Source organism: Homo sapiens, chromosome 12, assembly GCF_000001405.40.
Source record: "Homo sapiens chromosome 12, GRCh38.p14 Primary Assembly".
NCBI lineage: Eukaryota > Metazoa > Chordata > Mammalia > Primates > Hominidae > Homo > Homo sapiens.
Window position 1 is genome coordinate 84,430,255 of NC_000012.12, and position 20,333 is coordinate 84,450,587.

At 34.8% G+C, this 20,333-nt stretch overlaps 1 pseudogene; it reads right to left on the bottom strand.

Moving 5' to 3' along the window:
• Positions 1-18,178: 18,178 nt before the first annotated feature.
• On the bottom strand, positions 18,179-19,794 carry WDR12P3 (WDR12 pseudogene 3; annotated as a pseudogene).

Here is a 20,333-nt window from a genome sequence, read left to right on the forward strand (position 1 = left end):
CCCATTCTTTTTCATGGTTGTCATAACACATATAGATATCTCCCTGCTTTCCTGTGACAAGGCTGAACAGATATCTTTCTCATTTTTTCTGAACCTAACAAAGACAGGCAAAGACCCTTTAACTTCCCATTCTTTGTCTGATGAATGTTTAGCTGAACTGTTTTTTCCCTCTAAACGAGCTAGACACATAAATATTTCTTGTTTAGTTGACTCACAGGGACGTTCCTTGGTTGCAAAATCAATCCCAAATTTAAGTCATCTCAACTATACCTTGTCTACCGCTCCTTATAAAAGTGTAAGGCAAAACATCCTGCTAAGATACTCTGTTCTTCAGATCTGAGGTGCTATGCCTATTACCATAGCCTGGGTAAAATAAAATTCTTTACTTGTTCGGTTTCTGTCCTTAAAAGAGGGAATATTCAAAGATGTGCATCTTATAAAATGAGACAGATGGGATTTCTGTGCATGACATTCAAGAGCACAGAGACATTAAATTATAAATCTCATCTATAACACTTAGAATATTTTTAAACTTAAACAAATTTACCTAAAATGTTTGCCTTAATTGTCTCAATATAAAATCTATCCTAGTGTATAACTTATTTCATAGTGTAATTGTGAAAATTAAATGAGTTACTATGTATCTATATATCTACACATATCACTTAGAACTATGCAAAGCACATAGTAAGCATTTTTGGAATGTTAGCTCTTATTATTATTGCTTCTAAATGTTAGTTAATATTGTTATTATTATTATTTATTTTATTTTTTCTCTTAAGTGAGTCACACAACATGACAGGAAAAAAAAATCCAATTCAGAAAAACGGGATAAAATTGAGTTAGCTGGAAGTGAGAACATCCTTGAATGCCCTTTGAAGTGAGTGTGGAGGACTAAATTATGAATCACATAGAAAGTCAATTTATGTAAGATGGAGCAAGAAATAGAATACAGGACAATCCCCCTAAATTATGAGCTTATATTTTAGTTACAAAAACTAGAAATTAACTTACATATATACACATTGTTATAAAAAGAATTCTTGTTTCCTTCGAAGGAGACCTTGACGTTACCTCTGTACAAACCTCATGGACATAGCTGGTCCAAGAAGAATTAATCTCCTAAAAACATGAGTAATACTCAAATACAGACAAATAAACTACTCATTTATTTATTTGTTTATTCATTCAACCAACATTTTATGAGAATTCACTACTACCAGACTGTATTTTAATATATTAGTAAACAAAGACATCAAGTTGCCTTTTGGCAACATTATTAACAACATAAACATCTTTGTTAGTGCATTGAAATGTATTCGCATAGAATTTTCATCATACTGGAAGACACAGATAATAAACAGCTATAAACAGATAATATTCAGAGAATAAACAATAAATATTAAAAGTGAGTAAATTTTATATTATGTTAGGTAATGATAAGGACTGAAAAAAAGGTGAAAAAAGATGAAGAGAATGAGGAATGCTGATTAGTAGAAAGTGGAGATACTTGAGGTATAATATTAAATTGGATGGTCAGGGTAATCTTCTTTGAATAGATGAGATTTGCATGAAGATTTGCAGAATATAAGGCAATTAGCCAAGTGAACGTGTTGAAGAATATGCAAGGTTCAGACAAAAGCTGAAGTGCAAACCCTAAGACAAAAATACACTTTGTTTGAGGAAGAATAAGGAGAACTGGAAGAAATGAGAAGACTTTACAGCGTTTAATAGAGAAGTAAGAATTGAATTTGTGATTTCACAGGAATACTATGGCTAGTCTTCTAATGATAGAAAAAGGAAGACCTATTAGAAGGATAAATTTAAGAGAGAGAGAGAGAGATTAATGTGGCCGATACCAGTGTGCATTGGTGAGAAGTGTTCAACTTCTTTCTTTCTTGTTCTTATCTTTCATGTTTACAACTGTTTCACACAGAAGTAATCAGGTATTGAGAGATTGAGAACTGATATTTTTATAAATTTTCTTAAAGTAGATTTGTTTTACTTCAAAATTAGTTCTTATTTTGTTGCATACAACTGTCTTCAAAAGGAATGTGGGTGATTCTAATTTTGTGAAAATATAATTATGTAAACTATGAAGTATGTAGAAGACCAACAGACTTATTCATTGGTCAAAGAAAAACAAATTAAAAATGAGAAGGAATAATTTTCTTTTTAATCTTCCCTTCATTAATAAACGCTTTTCAACTATTACAATAAGTAAAACAAGTGTATCTGAACTTCTGCAAAATTCCTGCTTTTGAGAATGGAATAATTGGTATAAAAATCTACAACAAAATCATCCAACTGGCTATTTGATATTTTTTATGACAAAAAGGTAGTTTTATTGAAAGTTTTGCCTTTTTGCTAGTAACATTTTATTAGCCAAATAGAATAAAATATATTATGTCAGTGTAAGAATGAGATGCTTATAAAGACCAGAACAGCAGAAACTAAACATGTAGGAAACATTCCATTTGCTCCAGAAACGCTGTTTGTCGTGGTTGTTGTAATATATCAGTATTTATAAAATTTATCTTTTTTTCTAATAGCGACACTAAATTCCCTCTAGTTACAGTAATAGCCTGGTTGATTCTGCCTTTCATCCACAATGGTTATTTTTATGTATATTTGATGGAAAATATTAAATAAGCCAACCCCTGCTCCCACCTGAACATTTAATGTTGCTTGTGAGAGCTATGCATATATCTAGGTGATCCTGACAACTCCTAGCTTTCATGTGTCTGAATGAAAAGTCACAGGGCACTTGGAGTCTTGAGGTTGAGGCAAGTTCAATCAAAACATGTTGGAGCAATCCTGAATGTGAAGGTGAAAAACAGAAGACCATATACATTACAGTGCAGACAAATTTAACCAAGTGATTCCCTTCTCTCCCCCTTTCTTTCTTAAATAAGCAGATGTCAACTATATTCAAACTCTAGAAAGAATCAATTAATATCCATACAATATCAGTTTTGTTAGTGCATGTGTGTCTGCATCAGAACGTACAAACACACACACACACACACAAATACAGAATGGTAAACTTTTGGAAGAGAAATAGAATAAAATCTTTATTTTCAAGCTTGTCAGAAAATCTACCTTATTAAGCAATGGCCTGTTTACAGTGTTTATATTCTAAATGTTTTCTGTTAAACACTCGCACATGATGCTCAAAAGTTATAAATTAAAAATAAAATCCAGAACAGTCTAACTGATACTCAAATTTCATTTATAGTTTAGAAAATGGTCCTTTTAAAGAACTGATCATTCAATGCTTAACTAATAGGGAAATACTAATTTTTGACTTTTTACTGTTAAGGAAAAATGTTTAGAAGCATTAAGGCTACATGATTAAGTGGCTGTTAACAAATTCTGGAATTTATAACATCAAAATGTATTGGTAATTGCAGAGTAATGTTTGAAAATAAATCTTCTTGACTATTTTCAAAATATTTCTAAAAATCATACTTTATTATTTGTTCCCTAACACTATAATTTTCTATAGTTAGGGACTAGTACTTTGAAAAGAAGACCATGAAAAGCCACATATTTTAAAAACATGAACGTTATTGTGAAAAATTACTTTGAATATTAGTGATAAAGTAAATAAAATGGTCAAAATATATTCCTGTGGCAAAAATTGGTAGAGGCCACAGAATTTCCAGGCTTACAGCATGGAGGCAAGTATTGTGTATTTCTTAAAGCAGAATTTTCAATATTTTTCAAATTAAAATAATTTTTCATTAGAGTCATAAAAAGATGAATGGCAATCCAGAATTATTAAGTAAGGGTCTTCTGAAAAAAAAGAAATGGGAATCTGTATTTTTAATAAATAAGTCAAGCTATTCCTATAATTATAAAAGCTTGGGAGAAACAGTCTCAAGTGATATATTTTACAAACTTCTTAGATGTAGAATATTAACATCACCCCAGAAGATTTTTTTATTACTCAGGGTTCTCTAAAGAAACAGAACCAATGGGAGCTGTTATAAATTAAAGAGAGAGAGCAAGAAAGAGAGAGAAACTGATATTTATTATGAGCATTGGCTCATGTGGTTATAGAAGCGAAGAAATCTCAAGACCTGCCATCTCGTCTCTCTATGCTGGAGAACCAGGAAAGCCAATGGTGTAATTAAATCTGAATCCAAAGGCCTGAGAAGTAGGGATCTTTCGTTGTAAGTCCTAAACTCTAAAGGCCCAAGAACCTTCAGCAGGGGTTATGATGTTGGAGAGCAGAAAAAGCTGGATGTCTCAGAAAAAAAAAATAAATGAATAAATTAGTCTTTCCTCTGCCTTTTTGTTATATTTGGAACCTCTGTGGTTTGGAGGATGTCTGCCCACATTGGTGAAGGCAATCTTCTTTACTCAATGTACCAATTCAAATGCTAATCTCTTCCAGAAATACCCTCACAGACACACCCAGAAACAATGTTTTGCCAGCTATCCCTATTCTATCCCGGCATCTTTTAGCCTAGTCAAGTTGACACATAAAACTAACCATCACCATTTCCTAATGCCTTTACAATTAACCCATGACCCATATGCATGGAAGTAATGGCAATTCTTAATTTTTTCCACTAAAGATAAGATTTATCTGTTTTATAAGGTCACAAAAATTGAATCAAACAATATTATCCTTTTGATTAAGGATTCTTTCATTCAGCATAAGTTTATAGAGATTAACCCATGGTGTTGCATGTATCAGTAGTTTGTTATTTCTATGTGGTGGTTCCATTTTATTAATGTACCACCATATATTTATTCATTCTTCTACTGATAGACATGAAATGTTTCCAATCTGAAACTATTATGAGTAAAGCTGCTATGAACATTCTTGACAATTATTTTGTGAACACATGTTTTCATTTTTCTTGGGTAAATACTTGAGATTGAAATGGTAGGATCATAGGGTAGTATTGCTTTAATTTTATAAGAAACTTACAGAGATTTTTCTAAAGTGGTTGTAACATTTTATACTGCCAATAATATGAGTTCCATTTACTACACAATCTCCCCATCATTTTTTCTTTTCTGACTTTGTCATAGATTTGTTTTGTATTATTATTATTATTATTATTATTATTATTATTATTATTATTTTGAGATGGAGTTTCATTCCTGTTGCCCAGGCTCAAATTCAACAGTGCGATCTCGGCTTACTGCAACCTCTGCCTCACGGGTTCAAGTGATTCTCCTGCCTCAGCCTCCCAAGTAGCTGGGATTACAGGCACCTGCCACCACACCCGGCTAATTTTTGTATTTTTAATAGACATGAGGTTTCACCACATAGGCCAGGCTGGTTTCAAACTTCTGACCTCAGGTGATCCACCTGCCTCGGCCTCCCAAAGTGGATTTGTATTTTTTGGGTGAATAATAATGGTGAAAACTTTTTCACGTACTTTATCATTCAGAGATCATTTCTAGTGAATTGTCCATTTAAAATTGTGCCATTTTTATTGTTGAATTTCATTTTATTATTGAGAGTTAATGTCTAGGCATTCTTTATTTTCTGGCAGCAGCCCTTGGCCCTCTCCCTGTGATAATCCTCATTATCAGCCCTTTGCCCAGTTTCTAATCACATCCATGCTCAGTGACAGCGCAGCTGTGAAATGACAGCCAGTTTTCCCTAATCCTGTTTACTTCATTATTTCCCCATTGCCTTTAAAGTTGTCTATCTGTTTGGGGATTATTTGGTTTCTTTTGTCTTTTTTTGTTTCTAAATCTGGCCTTCTTTTTCACCTCTCAGTGGGAGCCTTGGCTAAGTAAGCTATTCCATCCGAATCAGAGGCAAAAGTCCCACCAAACAAATTTAATAAATTAAAGAGGTTTATGCTATCCCTCCTCTCATCAGGGTTCTTCAGATAAACAAACCAAAAGGATATAGATATAGGCATAGACTTTGACACAGACATAGACATGGACATAGACATAGACATATGAGAATAGATTTATCTCAGGGGTAGACTCACACAGTTGTGGAGGCTGATAAGTCTTAGGCCTTCTGCAAGCTGGAGAACCAGGGAAGCCAATATCATAGTCCAGTGCAAGTCTAAGTCCTCAGAGCCAGAGAAGCTGATGGTATTATTCTCAATCTGAGTCTGATAGCCTGAGAAACTGGGCGCCTGCTTGTGCAGGTCTTGAAGTCCAAAGGCCAGAGAACTTCTACTTCTGATGTCCAAGAGCAAGTGAAGAAGGATGTCCCAACTCCAGAAGAGAGAGGGAAACAGAGAGAGTTAATTCACCTTTTCTCTGCCTTTTTGTTCTATGTGCAACTTCAGATGGTGCCAGTCCTCACTGAGTGAGCGCAGATCTTCCTTATTCAGTCCACTGTTTCAAATGCTAATCTCTTCTAGAAACACCCTCCCAGGCACACCAAAAAATAATGCTTTCTCAGGAAACTGGTCATTCTTTAATCCAGTCAGCTGACACCTAAAATTAACAATTTCACTACCCTACAAAGCACTAGATGATTTGGCTATTGCTTTCTTCTCAACTTCTTCTTCTTCTGTTGTCCTCCCTATGCCCTATGCTCAAACCCAATTTGCCTTCTTTTTTAATTCTGTGACCATTCCCCAGATTTAATCACGTATAGTGACATTTGCATTTGCTTTATGCTTCTTCTGTTTGAAAAACTTTCACAGATGTTTTAATCCTGCCACATTTTCATCATTCCTATCTAAACTCAGATACCATAAATAGAGACACTGCAAGTAACTGGTCCTAATAAGGTAACTGATCCATTGTAAGAAGTAAACTAGAAGGCACTGAATATCTTCCAGGCTAGAAATAGATGAACCTTAATAAACATTTGCAAAATATTTTGATAAACACTGGCCATAGCACTTTGGGGCATAGACCATGTACTTATGAAAACCATATTATTATGAATAACATGTAATTTATATAGAAAAATTCCAGATATCCATATAGTCTACTTCTTCAAGTGTTCAATAATGTTCTAAACACAGAGATACAATTGGTATAATTGCAACCTCTCCAAAAGCATAAAGATAAGGTAATAACTTTGCTAAAAAAAGGCTCTCAGCCTGTGGCCAGCAGTCCAAGTTGACTGTGAAAACATGACAAGATTCCCCTTGTCCAAGTTAGTAAAGCTGAAGCCCCACCCTAAAGTTAGTATACCTGAAAGTAAAAAGTAAGACATTATCATTCACATGGTAGAACGTGAAGTTTTAAAGGACAACAGACAGAAGTCGCTCCAGAAACTATTTTTTCAAATATTTATTTGTAACCCTCCTTCTGGGTCTCCAAATACATTTCTTAGAGTACTTGATATTGCTCCACAGCTCATTGAATCTCCCATATAATATTTTTCAGCATTTTCTTTCTCTGTGCTTCAGTTTTGATAGTTTATATTGCCATATCATCAAAGTCACTGGTCATTCCTGTACCATTTCTAAATTGCTGTTAACTTCATCCTAAGTCATAGATTACATTTTCTATTTTGTTCAATTTTAGTAAATTTTCGTTTATATTGGATCTTGTATGATTTTTCTTATGACTGAGAGGTAAATTATCTGTGAATAAGCTTGACTTCTTTGAGGCTTGTGTTTAAGCTTTGTTGCAGGAGATCTGTTACAGTCTTTATTGCTACTTTTTTATTCCACTGAAGACTGACTTTTCTTGAAATTATTTTTCAAGTGTTTTCCTCAGGTGTAGTGCCTGCTTGATGTCTCTAAAATTTTGTTTATTTGCATAGATTTTTCTTTCCCCTTCAGTATAGATACCTTGGAAGGATATTGCATAATTTGGTTATGGCCATATCCTCTCCATCATCTGTGAATATTAGTTAATAATCATCAAGTTTGTAATGCCAGACTAATATTTTATACTTTATAAGTACTAATAGTTATTTGTTGTGCCTGAAAACACATAAGATTTTTTTTTTTTCTCTTTATGGTTATGCTTCACTGATTTGACCAGGATATGCTAGAGTTCTTGTTTTGTTTTGTTTGGGGGGAGTTTATTTGTTTTGTTTCTTTATTATTTATTCATGCTGAATTTTCCAAGCTCTTTTGGTCTTAGATTTAGTCTCTTGAACTCAGAGAAACTTTACTCAATTATTTTTAAGTGCTGATCTTCTTTCATTTTTCTATCTTCTCCTTAAATCCTAGAGGCACTAGCTACTCTAGATACGTGTTCTTTTCTGCAACATTTTCTTTTTATTGAATGAAATTGCCTAGAAACTTGTACCATTGCATGTGATGCTAACACAAAATAAAATATGCAATGCGAGTACATTTATAAAAAGGTCAAAGATACATTAATAGCTGGGAGCACTGGCTCATACTTGTAATCCCAGCTACTCAGGAGGCTGAGGTGGGAATATGCCTTGAGCACAGGATTTTGAGGCTGCAGAGAACTATGATAGCACCACTGCACTCCAGCCTGAGTGATAGAGTGAGACCGTGTCTCTGATTAAAGAAATAAACAACACTGTTACAGAAACATACAAATAGGCAGGAAAACTAGAATAAAAACAAAAAAGTAATTACCATCAAAGCCATCATATGTGTTATTTGCACATCTTTCAGACATACATATTGGTGGTAAAAATACAAAGAAAAGTAAAAGCCAATTGCCATTAAACTTAGAAGGGTGGTTATTCCTGAGAGAGGATATGTGTTTAGACAAGAAATTATGAGGGACTTCTGGAGAGGTGACAATTTTCTTTCCAACCTAGACGGTGATTACATGGCATTGATTTCAGTTATATGATATGCTGCATTATACAATTTTATGCACTGTTGTGTGTATATATATATTATTTTTCACACTCTTAAAAAGGAAAATAGGCAGACATATTTATTTTCTTTAAGAAACCCAGAGTTCAAAAAGCAGACTTGAAAATCTATAATACTTCAAAAGTAACATTTGTATAATTAATAAATGGAAGACAACTTGGTTAAACAGAAGAAAACAAAGTGTTTACTAACAGTGTCATTTGGCTATGAACTTGAAAATTAGGCATGGAATAGTCTATATTAATGTGAATCACATTTTCCCTTATGTATGTAGCATCTAAAATTTCTGTGAAACAGGGAATAGTCGCATGGCTTACCATCCAGTCTAAATACTCAACATTACTGCCAACCTGAGAAGCTATATATTCAGACCAAGTTGATGCACTAAAAACGTGAATTATAACCAATTATAAGGACCCAGTAAAATCATAGGAGAAGTAGAGGAGGAAGTAACACAATATTATATATTTTACTTTTGCACCTCTTTCAATAGTTTATTATTCAGACAAATCATAATCCCAGAAAGATTATACTCTCTGGGTGGTTAACTTCAACAGTGCAAGTGAAATATTTTAGTTCTTCATAGACTAAGTTATACAGCTCAAAAGATGCTAGTCACTAACTAGATCTCTCTAATTCCCTAGGCGTTCTTAACTCTTCCACTTACCTATTATGGAACTTTTAAAATTTAAATTTTCTTTTGTATATCTGCTGCCATTCTTGCTTGCTCAATTGCTCACTCACTGTAGAGTTTAAGTAAACCCAGACCAGGAGAAATTATCCTGAATCCTTCTTTTGGTGGTGTTGTAAGATTTTCTCACAGTCTTTTTTGCTGCTATAATTTCCATTTTATATATATTTTTTTCTCGCTGAACTCTTCTGTCACAACCAATCCTTTTTCACAGTTTATACATTTCCAATTATGGCAAAAAGGTATCCCAATACTTCCCAAGACTTCCCAAGAGTCCCAAGACAAAAAAAGACTTCCTAATATTTCCTAAGAGTTGTCTGACAACTCTTTCTACAACATTTATAGTATTTAAAAATCCCTTTCCCTTCTGGATTTTGAGCTCACTTTGATGGATTTGTGCTAAGCAACTTCTCTTTCCACTGGACATTTTCTTTCATTTGAAGCCTGATTTAGGGGGATATATAGTCACTCCAACTTTACGTAGAAAAACTCTTAAGTGATATCTCCCTTTTAATATGAGGACATTATATATTTCCACTGTATTATACAGAACGAACTTCAAGGACAGGAGGAATTTCTCTTTTCATAGATTCAGTCCATCGTTCCGGAATTCCAATTGTGTAATGCAGATTACCTGAGGCTATTTTTTCACTATCTTTCCATTCCTTGGGTGATAGCAGTCATATCAGTTTGGGTCATATTGGTTTGGTTTCACCCAAGGGCTAGAAGGCCAATTTGCATTATGCGAATGTGCTAGCTGCTTAATTGTCTAGTCTAGACATAAACCTTGTCCAGGGACAGCTAGACACAGTTGAATGGAGATGGTAGCACACAGACATGTGACTTTGGAATTGAGGAATGACAGAGACCCTGGCTTTTCTGAAAAACATGGGGATAGGGTTCTTATGGACATATAAGTAAACATTTGCTATTAAAAAAATGAAGTTTTAAGAAATCATTCTAAACATTTCTACTGTATACATTTTTGGTTTCCTTATTTCAAACTTTGAGTACCCTTACTCTTTCTCAGCTATTAATTGCTAAATGTTATATCTTGAAATTGATAATATAAATTGGGCAAGTAATATGTAGGGCACAAGACATGGGAGCTTAAATGGCTAAATATAATTTGTTTTTCAGCTTTGTGTTTTTAGGTTTGGGTTCCTATAAAATTTAATTTTGATCTTAAAACCAAAGTTTTGCATTAAAGAATACCCAGTTTTCACAGCAATCATTTTTTAAGATTTTCTATTTTGCTTCTTCCACACTGAAAATAAAATTTTGTGTGATATTCTGAAAGTGATAAATCAAACATTATGCAATATGTGGTAGTCTGTGGCTTCTGAGGGAAATTAATAACATCTGTAATTGGGAACTTTGTTGAAACCAAATCTCAAATAAATGGCACCATGAATGCTATTATTGACTGGGAAAATTACTGTCTAAATAAAAATGAAAATCCATGTTTCAGGCTGTTATTATTTCCTTGCCTCAAGTTAATTTCCTCTATACCACCTTTCCCACTGGTGACAGCCACTACAATTTTCTCTAACCACAAGCATATTACTGTTCAGATGCTACAAATAGCACAAAGCATATCCGTACTGGAGAAACCCGGAATGTAGCTCTATTTTCATTCTAGGTTCAAAGTATTTTTTTTGGAAAATGATAAGCAGATATGGAAGTTAGCCCCAGTAGCATTCCAGCACCCATAAATATAGTGTTTTAGTATAAATATCTATAATAGTTTTGTCCTATTTAGTAATTAGGTCTCATTTGCATGTCCAAATAATACTGTGAGAAGAATATATTGTAAAATAATAATTATGTGAAATATCAGCTATAAAATTACTGAAGGACACATTTTGAAATCATTCAGAGTGTGCTGACATAGGATAGTTCTTAGTTATTACACCAAGAATCAGACTAGTTTCTGGGTTCTCAGGTAGTCATGAAAAAACATTCCATCTTGTCAGGTTTCTTGTCCTATTCTTGAATGATTCTATTTTACGTTCTATTTTAACTGCAAAAATCCACAAATTTTTCAGATAAAGAATCTAAACTTCTTAAAGTTAAGGAAATTTCATAGTGACAAATAATTCATGAAAGAGCCATGATTGCAAATCTGGTCTACCTGATTCCAAAGTCCATGATTTTTCATTCTTCCTTACTATTCTCCATTATTCTCATCAATATCCTACACAGGCAGATAGTCCTTAATCATAAAAGTTACAAAAATCACACTCATGGTGTCCTGGAAAATGCAATGAAATCAGTTAAAAGTTGTGGCAATGGCATCAGGTAGAAGGCACCGTAATAGTTGAGCTAGAGGCAATGGGGTTCTAAAATAGGGAAACACCCATAATCATGACAAGAGAGGAACAGATATAATTGATGTATATTTAAAATATATAGGACATAACTCTTTTGATGTTAAGTATGAAGAAGATGTAGGCTGCATCATTTCCTATGACTTTTGAAGCTCTAATCAAAATATGAGTTAGGGCAATTAGATTTACCTTTTAGAAATTTAGAATTTGGAAGCCATGAGACTAAGTCTGTTTCCACTGACACTTGAGGTAAAAAACATAAAATTTTCAGATTCGGCTGTAAATTAAAAAAACAAAATAATTTAGGCACACAGAAAGGAACAGAGATCTAATGACTGAAAGAACTTCTGGCCCATGATAAATAGAAATATCCATTCCTAATGGCTTTCAAATTCCCACTTGCACTCTATGGGAGGCCTGGATATATCTTGATCCGTCTATGGGTGGGGACCAGAGTGACATATTACAAAAACACTAGCTTGAGCTTATTTGAGTAAGTTTTTGTTCCTTGTAACAACAACAAAAATCCAAACCAAACAAATATCTCCCTTTAACTGAGAAGAAACATAAATTGTTGTGGAATGTCTGCCTTAACTGTGATAGACATATACAGGGGTTAAAGGCATAAAGAATTAAAAGCCAGTAAGAGAAACTGTAGACAGTAGGGTAATTTAGGCATATATGCATAACTATTTTCCAGAAATCTACTGTGATGATCCTAACTCATTGATGAAATAAGAGATTTTGTATCCATACGACAGAAATTTTAAGGAAATTTATCTATAAATCAACTTCAAATTAAACCAAACAGAAGGAAAGGCTGGTTCCAAATAACAGAGTAAAGAAAAGTAATTTGTTTTAAATAGGATAATTTCACTGATGTTATCTTAGATTTCAGTTGTTATCTTATTAATATAATCAAAGGTAAAAATCCATCTATGAAAAAGAAATGAAAATTTTATAAATCATTGATTATATACAGTTATGCTAAGTACTATGAAAAATCTAGTTGAAATAAGCAGCATTCTTATTAAAAGTAAATTATCTTCTTGGCTTTAGATTCAGAATAAAAAAATCACAGTCAGGAAAAAAATTGAGAAGCATTTTTAGGTGAAAATGACTCCAGTCTTGCCTAATTTTTTTTTAGAAGCTGCTTTCAAACAGATAAGGATTAAAAATTCCACTGTTTGGTACTAATCTAGAGATAATTATCTATCTATGTACCTACCTACATATCTATCAAAACATAGTGCATGTATATATATAAGCCTATATATCTGCTTAACTGTAATAAAATTTAAAAAAATATTTGAAATGTAAAATAAATATGACATAATTAGGGTCAATCTCTAAAATGTAAAATAAATATATTGACATAATCAGGTTTAACCTTTTGGGTTAATCCTTTGTTGTGCTTACAAAGCAAATTTTATGTTAACTTAACCATAAGCAAAAGCCTGTAGTATCACATTATTCCTTAGTTTAAGGAAGAGCTAAGGATTCTGCAGGTTAAAAAAAATAATGTTTTTCTTCATTTTATACCATGTGATATTATTTGTGCGTATTGGTTTTCTTCCATGGTTTCAGTCTCATAGCTCCCATAGCCCTTGATATTTACTAAGTGACTAAAGTGATATCTTTTGTGAAAGCATCTTTTGTCTTTGATTCCTGAAACAACTTTGAAACAGATTCTTAGTGATAAAGGTGGAAGTCTCTGGTTATAATGTTGGGGTACTTTAGGCCTTAGAAGCAAGACTCAGAAAATAGAATCTCTCTGACCTTCTCCTACCGTCCTTTCACCTGCTCCTTTTTCTACCCAAGGCCTTCCATAGAAACTTAAAATATATTCTTCCCTTGCCTTTATGTCTTGGAGCTGGCCATCAAGATATTCTCTGACCCACCTTGCCTGATTGTAAGTCAGACTGATTTCAGAAGAGGTTCTGCCCCATACTCAGGAGGAAAGAATGTTGTACAGAGATGCCAAGAAGAATCTGAACAGGCAGACCTCGCTGGGTTTTCCCACTCAGTCTACTAGTATTAGATCACACCCTTTTTGACCAATCACATTTCTACATCATTATCCATGCTTCAATCATGCCTATACAATGAAGTCTCAAAAAAAGGCCCAAGAGGAGAGGTTACAGTGAGCTTCTGGACAGCTGAACTGATGGAGGCTTACAGGAAGGTGAAGAGGAATTCATGTACTTGTTGGGAGGGTGCACCCCAACTCCATGGGAACTGAAGCTCCTGCACTCAGGATCCTTCCAGATCTCACCCTACGTTATTTCTTTGCTTCCCTTTTTGTGAGCTACTATAGCAAATTAATGGAACCTGATGAAGAGGTTGTGGAAACCAAACTTGAAGCTGAGCCAGTTGGTCTGAAGTTCTGGAGGCCTGGATTTGTGACTGGTGTCTGACATGTGGGCTGTCTTGTGGTTCTGAGTCCTCAACCTGTGGGATGTGATGCTATCTCAGGTTAGAGAGTCTCAGAATTGCACTGGAGTAGAAGACACCTGGTTGGTCTCCGCTACAAAATTGATTGCTCGCTTGCTGGTGGAAAAAATCCCCACACATATGGTGTCGGAAGCGTGTTGTGAGAGTATAATGGGAGAAGCTGAGTTTGTTTTTTCTACTTATACCATTCATGTTTTTAATTCTCTCTTAACGTGAGTCATATTCATTCAACAATGTATAACTCCTATGTCAGGTATTCCCTGGTCATAATGTTCTCTAGCTCTTTGATTTGAAATTCTGACTTATATAGTATACACACCTTTCTCAGAACACTTAACATCTATAGAGACATTAGGCAGGAGGAATAAATTGTTACCAGGAAGGAAGGCAGGAAGAAGAGACAGGAAATAAAGTGTTGTGTTCTATTGCGAACAAAGCACTGTGATGGTTACTTTATCTTTAATTCCTAATAACACCAAGCAGTAATTGTCCTGATCTGGCAAATTGGAAAACAGGATCAGGCATGGTGGTTCTGACTTTACCCCACAAGTTCTCCTCCAGCAAACTAGGGCATGCTGTGTTAGCACTGTCAATATTACAGCAGTGAATTCAAAGCCAAGTGAAAAATCTCAGCTACAATAATAAAGGGTGTTAGAAGATAGTGGTTAAGAACACAAGGTCCAACATTAGGTGTCCTAGGTTCAAATCCAGGTCTGAGATATATTAAGTTTATGACCTTGGGCAATTTATGTAACTTCTCCATGCTACAGATAGTTCATCTGTAACAACGGGATAATACATTCTGCTACTCAAGTTATTGTAATTATTCAATCAGTTAATATGTGTAAAATATCTAGGTGAGTGTTTGGTTCACAGTAAGAGCTTTATAGGTTTGCTAATAATGTTGCTGCTTAAAATTAAACCTGGTGGATAAAATGAGGATAATTTTCTGTCCTAGAACCTAAAGCATCTTTCTTGTTCACTGCTGTGCATCTTCTACAAACAAGACATTGTGCATTCCTAGCAATCTCTTTTCATCTTAATCCTTCAGTCTAAGGATTTACTATTCTAAGTAAAGTAGAATTTTCTGCAGTTTTCCTTCCCGTTTTTAGCTTTTATTTTAAGTTCATAAGCAGGATGTGCAGGTTTGTTACATAGGTAAATGTGGGGGTTTGTTATACAGATTGTTTCATCACCAGGTATTAAGCCTAGTATCCATTAGTTATTTTTTCTGATCCTCTCCCTTCTCCCACCTTCCACCCTCTGATAGACTCGTGTGTTTTTCCCTCTATGTGCCCATGTGTTCTCATTATTTAGCTCTTTTCTCTAACCTAAAGTAATTTCTCTGTGTGATGCTTAATTTTATGTGTCAACTTGGCTGGGCCACATTACAGATATTTGGTCCAACTTTATTCTCGATATTTAAGTGAGGGTGCTTTTGGATGGGATTTACATTTAAATTATTGGACTTTGAGTAAACCAGAGTGCCTTACATAATGTGAGTTAGTTTCATCTAATTAGTTGAAAGCTTAATAGAAAAAAAGGCTTGATAAATCCTATTCCATCACCACCCCAAACCCCAGCAGGAGGAAATTTTCCAGCAGACTGTCGTCAGACTTCATCTGCTCTTCCTGATTTCTGCAATAAACTGTCTTAAGACTTGAACTGCAACCTCAGCTCTTTCCTGTGTCTTTGCCTGCTGGCCACCTTTATCGGGGAAACCAGCCCCCAATATCTCAAAGTAGGTTCTTTCTATTTTCCCTAAGTGCCGGCCAGTCTGAGAAATAAAGAGAAAGAGTACAAAGAGAGAAATTTTACAGCTGAGCCTCTGGGGGTGTCATCACATATTGGTAGGACTGTGATGGCAATCCCGAGCCACAAAACCAGCAAGTTTTTATTAGGGATTTTAAAAGGGGAGGGGGTGTACAAACAGGGAGTAGGTCTCAAGGATCATATGCTTCAAAGGGCAATAAAGATCATAAGGCAAGGCAAAATTAGAATTACTGATGAGGGTCTATGTCCTGCTGTGCATGCATTGTCTTGATAAACATTGTAACAGCAAACAGGGTTCAAGAGCAGAGAACCAGTCTGACTAAAATTTACCAGGCTGGAATTTCCCAATCCTGATAAGCCTGAGGGTACTGCAGGAGACCAGGGTGTATTTCAGTCCTTATCTCAACCGCATAAGACAGACACTCCAGAGCGGCCGTCAGTAGACCTACCTCCAGGAATGCATTCCTTCCCCAGGGTTATTCCTTGCTGGGAAAAGAATTCAGTGATATTTTTTCTACTCACACATACATCTATAGGCTTTCTATGAGAAGAAAAATATGACTCTACTCTGCCCAACCCCACAGGCAGTCAGACCTCATGGTTATCTTCCCTTCTCCCCTGAAAATCGCTGTTATTCTGTTCTTTTTCAGGGTGCACTGATTTCATAGTGGTCAAACACATATGTTTTACAATCCATTTGTACAATAGTGGTCCTGAGGTGACATATAGTCTCAGCTTATGAAGATAACAGGATTAAGAGATTAAAGTAAAGACAGGCATAAGAAATTATAAGAGTATTGATGGGGAAGTGATAAATGTCCATGAAATCTTCACAATTTATGTTCAGAGGTTGCAGTAAAGACAGGCATAAGAAATTATAAAAGTATTAACTTGGGGAACTGATAAATATCCATGACATCTTCCAGTTTATGTTCTTCTGTCTTGGCTCCAGTCGGTCCCTCTCTTTGGGGTCCCTGACTTCCCACAACACACCTTGTAGATTTTGGACTTGCCTGCCTCTAGAATTGGGTAAGCCAATTATTTAGAATGAATAAATATATTTCTATATGAACATACATTTTATTGGTTCTGTTTCTCTGGATAATCCTAATACATCCTGGTTTTGCATTTTCTGACTCTAATTTTTCTCAAACTTTCCCCTCATCTCTTTGGTAATTTGAGAGTTTCCCCTGCCCAGTAAAATCAACGAAGGCGAAAAAGGCCATCTGCTCCTTCCTGCCATCTGGGATGGGCACATTACAAAATTCACAAAATAAAGGACATATTACCCAACCAATTCTCTTGATTTGGGAAAGGAAAGAATCCATATGTTTCTTTCTAACTTCCCATTCTTTTCAAATGAAACTAGTAAAATTTATCATGGATTTTTTTTTAATGCTGAGAATATTTTTGACAAATTGAGTTAGAAGGCCAAGCAATCTTCCAGAGTATTTTCCCTTTTGGAAGTAGCATTGGCATGAATGAGTCTGAAGAAAGAGGGCCATCATAAACAGTCTCACATGGGCTCACACAGGAGCTACTTCCTTATCTTTTCCCTATTTAAAATCCATAAACTCTTTGGAATGAAACCCTTTTGTCCGCAACATTCCCAGAGCACATAGACATTAAATCATGAAGTTTTATGTAGTTGTCTGGTACTGGAATTAACTTCAAGGGACATCTAGAAAAAAACAAATGCTAGATGATATCAGCATAGTATCAGATAATAAAAAAACAAAGCAAAACAAAATACTATGTTAAAAAAAAAAAACTGTTGGAAACAGCCAGGACAAAACATTGCAGACAGCTATAGTGCTGTCTAGAAAAAAACAAATGCTAGGCAATATCAGCATAGTATCAGATAATAAAAAACAAAGCAAAACAAAATACTATGTTTAAAAAAAAATTGTTGAAAACAGCCAGGACAAAACATTGCAGACAGCTATGTAGTGCAATGTTAAGAATGTGGGACCTGGAGACAGGTGCTACAACTTTACCACTACACTTTCTTTAAAAATTAAGGTTTATGTTTTTATTTTTGTATTTGTAATGTACTCTTTTATAGAACTTCAAAAGAAAATCTTAATACAAATTAACACTTTTAAAAAGAAATTAAAAACTCCAAGTTTATCTTCAAGAATTTATATAGGGTAGTAAATGCAGGCCACATTTTATATTTTCTAAACACCAACTATTCCATTATAAAATAAAAAAGTGGTATGTTAACTATTATAAAGGATGAAACTATTATATAAACTTTAATCTAAAAGGCTGCTTTCTGCATCTGCATCAATGTAATTTCACGATTCTTTACCAATATTTATAGAAAGAATCTATAATGAAATTATCGTTCACTTTCATGCCCCACATGGGAAGTGGTAGGTGAATATATGTAGGAATATAATTCATTGTCTGATCTTCCATTGAGAAGTATCCCTGTGTTTGTCCAGTCTACACTCAGAATTTTGTCTTCATGAGCAGCTAGATCACAGAATGGAGCCTTAAAACTTCTTGTATTCTGCAGCTTGACAGTGTCACCTAAATATAATGAAATCAGCTGCTGTTCATGAATAGAAGACCATTTTACTGATGTCACCCGGCCTGTATGTGAAGTTGGGAAAAAGACAGCAAAAAACTATCTTTGGTTTGGGGATCCCAGTCTTATATGCATGTCTGTGCTTCCAGATGCTAAACATTTACAGAGTAGAAAATAGAAAATACAATACTTTATTTCCTGACAAAGCTGAGTTAAGACTGCTGAACTCAACATGCCACACTCTAATTGTGTGGTCCCAAGATGCACTGCAGGTTCCTTCAACATTTGACCACAGAACCAAGGAAATTGCTTCCTTGTGGTCAGAGAGGGTCAGCATGGGAGTCCTCGTTAGTTCCAATTGCTCTGTTTTCTGTTTCTTTCTCAATTTGTGGATTCCCCCATTTCATCTTCTTTATCTATAGAGACTGTAGAGTAGATATTTAACATTTTATCTCATCAGCCACTGCAAAATATAGTTTCTGAGCTATCAACAGCTATATAATCTACACTTCCAGTATGATCTCTGCAGCAGTGTAGGGCTTTCCCTGTTTCTCATTAAATTCTACTCCGGTAAGACAGTACTCTGATCAATGGAAGAATTCAGTAAAAACAAGACAAACTGTCTTTTTTCACCCAGGCCACATTTTTCACAGCATCTGTATATTTCACAATCATCATTACGAACTTTTCTTCCAAGCATCAGAACCCAGAAGTCTCATCATAAGAACCAGTCAAGGTACATTCCTCTGCCCCTTTAATTGAACTGATGCAGTCATCATAGAATATGCATTGCTCTGGCTGGTGGACAGTGTACTTCTCCACATTCTAGTTCCACAACCTCTTATGATGAGATGATCTCAAGGTCCATGTGTTTGACCAAGGAAATTAGCAGAAACTGGCCCTCCAGTTTGAAATCAAACTCCACATGTTTGTGGAACTCATTTTTGTCCTTCAGCAATTTATTCATGATGTTACTAAGGTCAGCTATTTCAGAGGCAGCAGAGATTGAGAAGAGAACATCATCTATTATATATTTCATGTTATCACTGTAGAAGTGTGTTTGGAACGGAGACATGGCAGGGAGTACACACAAGACTTGCCCACAGAAACATATGGGTTGGTATTCAGAGAACAAGAGCTCTGGTCTCTTAGGATTAAAAAATCGCAGCTCAAAATTAGACTGAATATGTAAGTGAGAAGCTGCATTTGAAGGCTGGCTTCCATTTTGTGTCCTTGGATCTCTTCCTATATTTTCAATTGATTGTAGAATCCCATATATCTGATTTTACAGAAGTAATATAGACAGATTTAATGTACTTTAGTTTTCCCCATATTCACTTTCCTCTCACACTCCCAACTCTACTCTCACTATTCCTAATACCTGACAACTACGAATCTGTTTTCCATTTCTATAGTTTTGTCATTTCAAGATTGTTATATAAATGAAATTATACAGTCTGCTCCTTTTGGAATTGGCTTTCCTTACTCTGCAAAATTATCCAAAGATTCCTCCAGTATACTATGTGTATTATTAGAGGTTTTTTTCTTACTATTGCTGAGTAGTATTCCATGTATGGGTGCACTAGTTCATTTAGTCAATCACTCCTTGGAGGTCACTCCAATTATTTCCAGTTTTTGATTATTGTGAATAAAGCTGCTGTAAACATTTGTTACAGATTTTTGTGTGAATATAAATTTTAATTTTTCTGGGGAAAATTCCCAGAAAACTTCTGGGTTGTATGATAGTTAATATGTGTAGTTTTTTTAAGAAACTGCCATTTTGG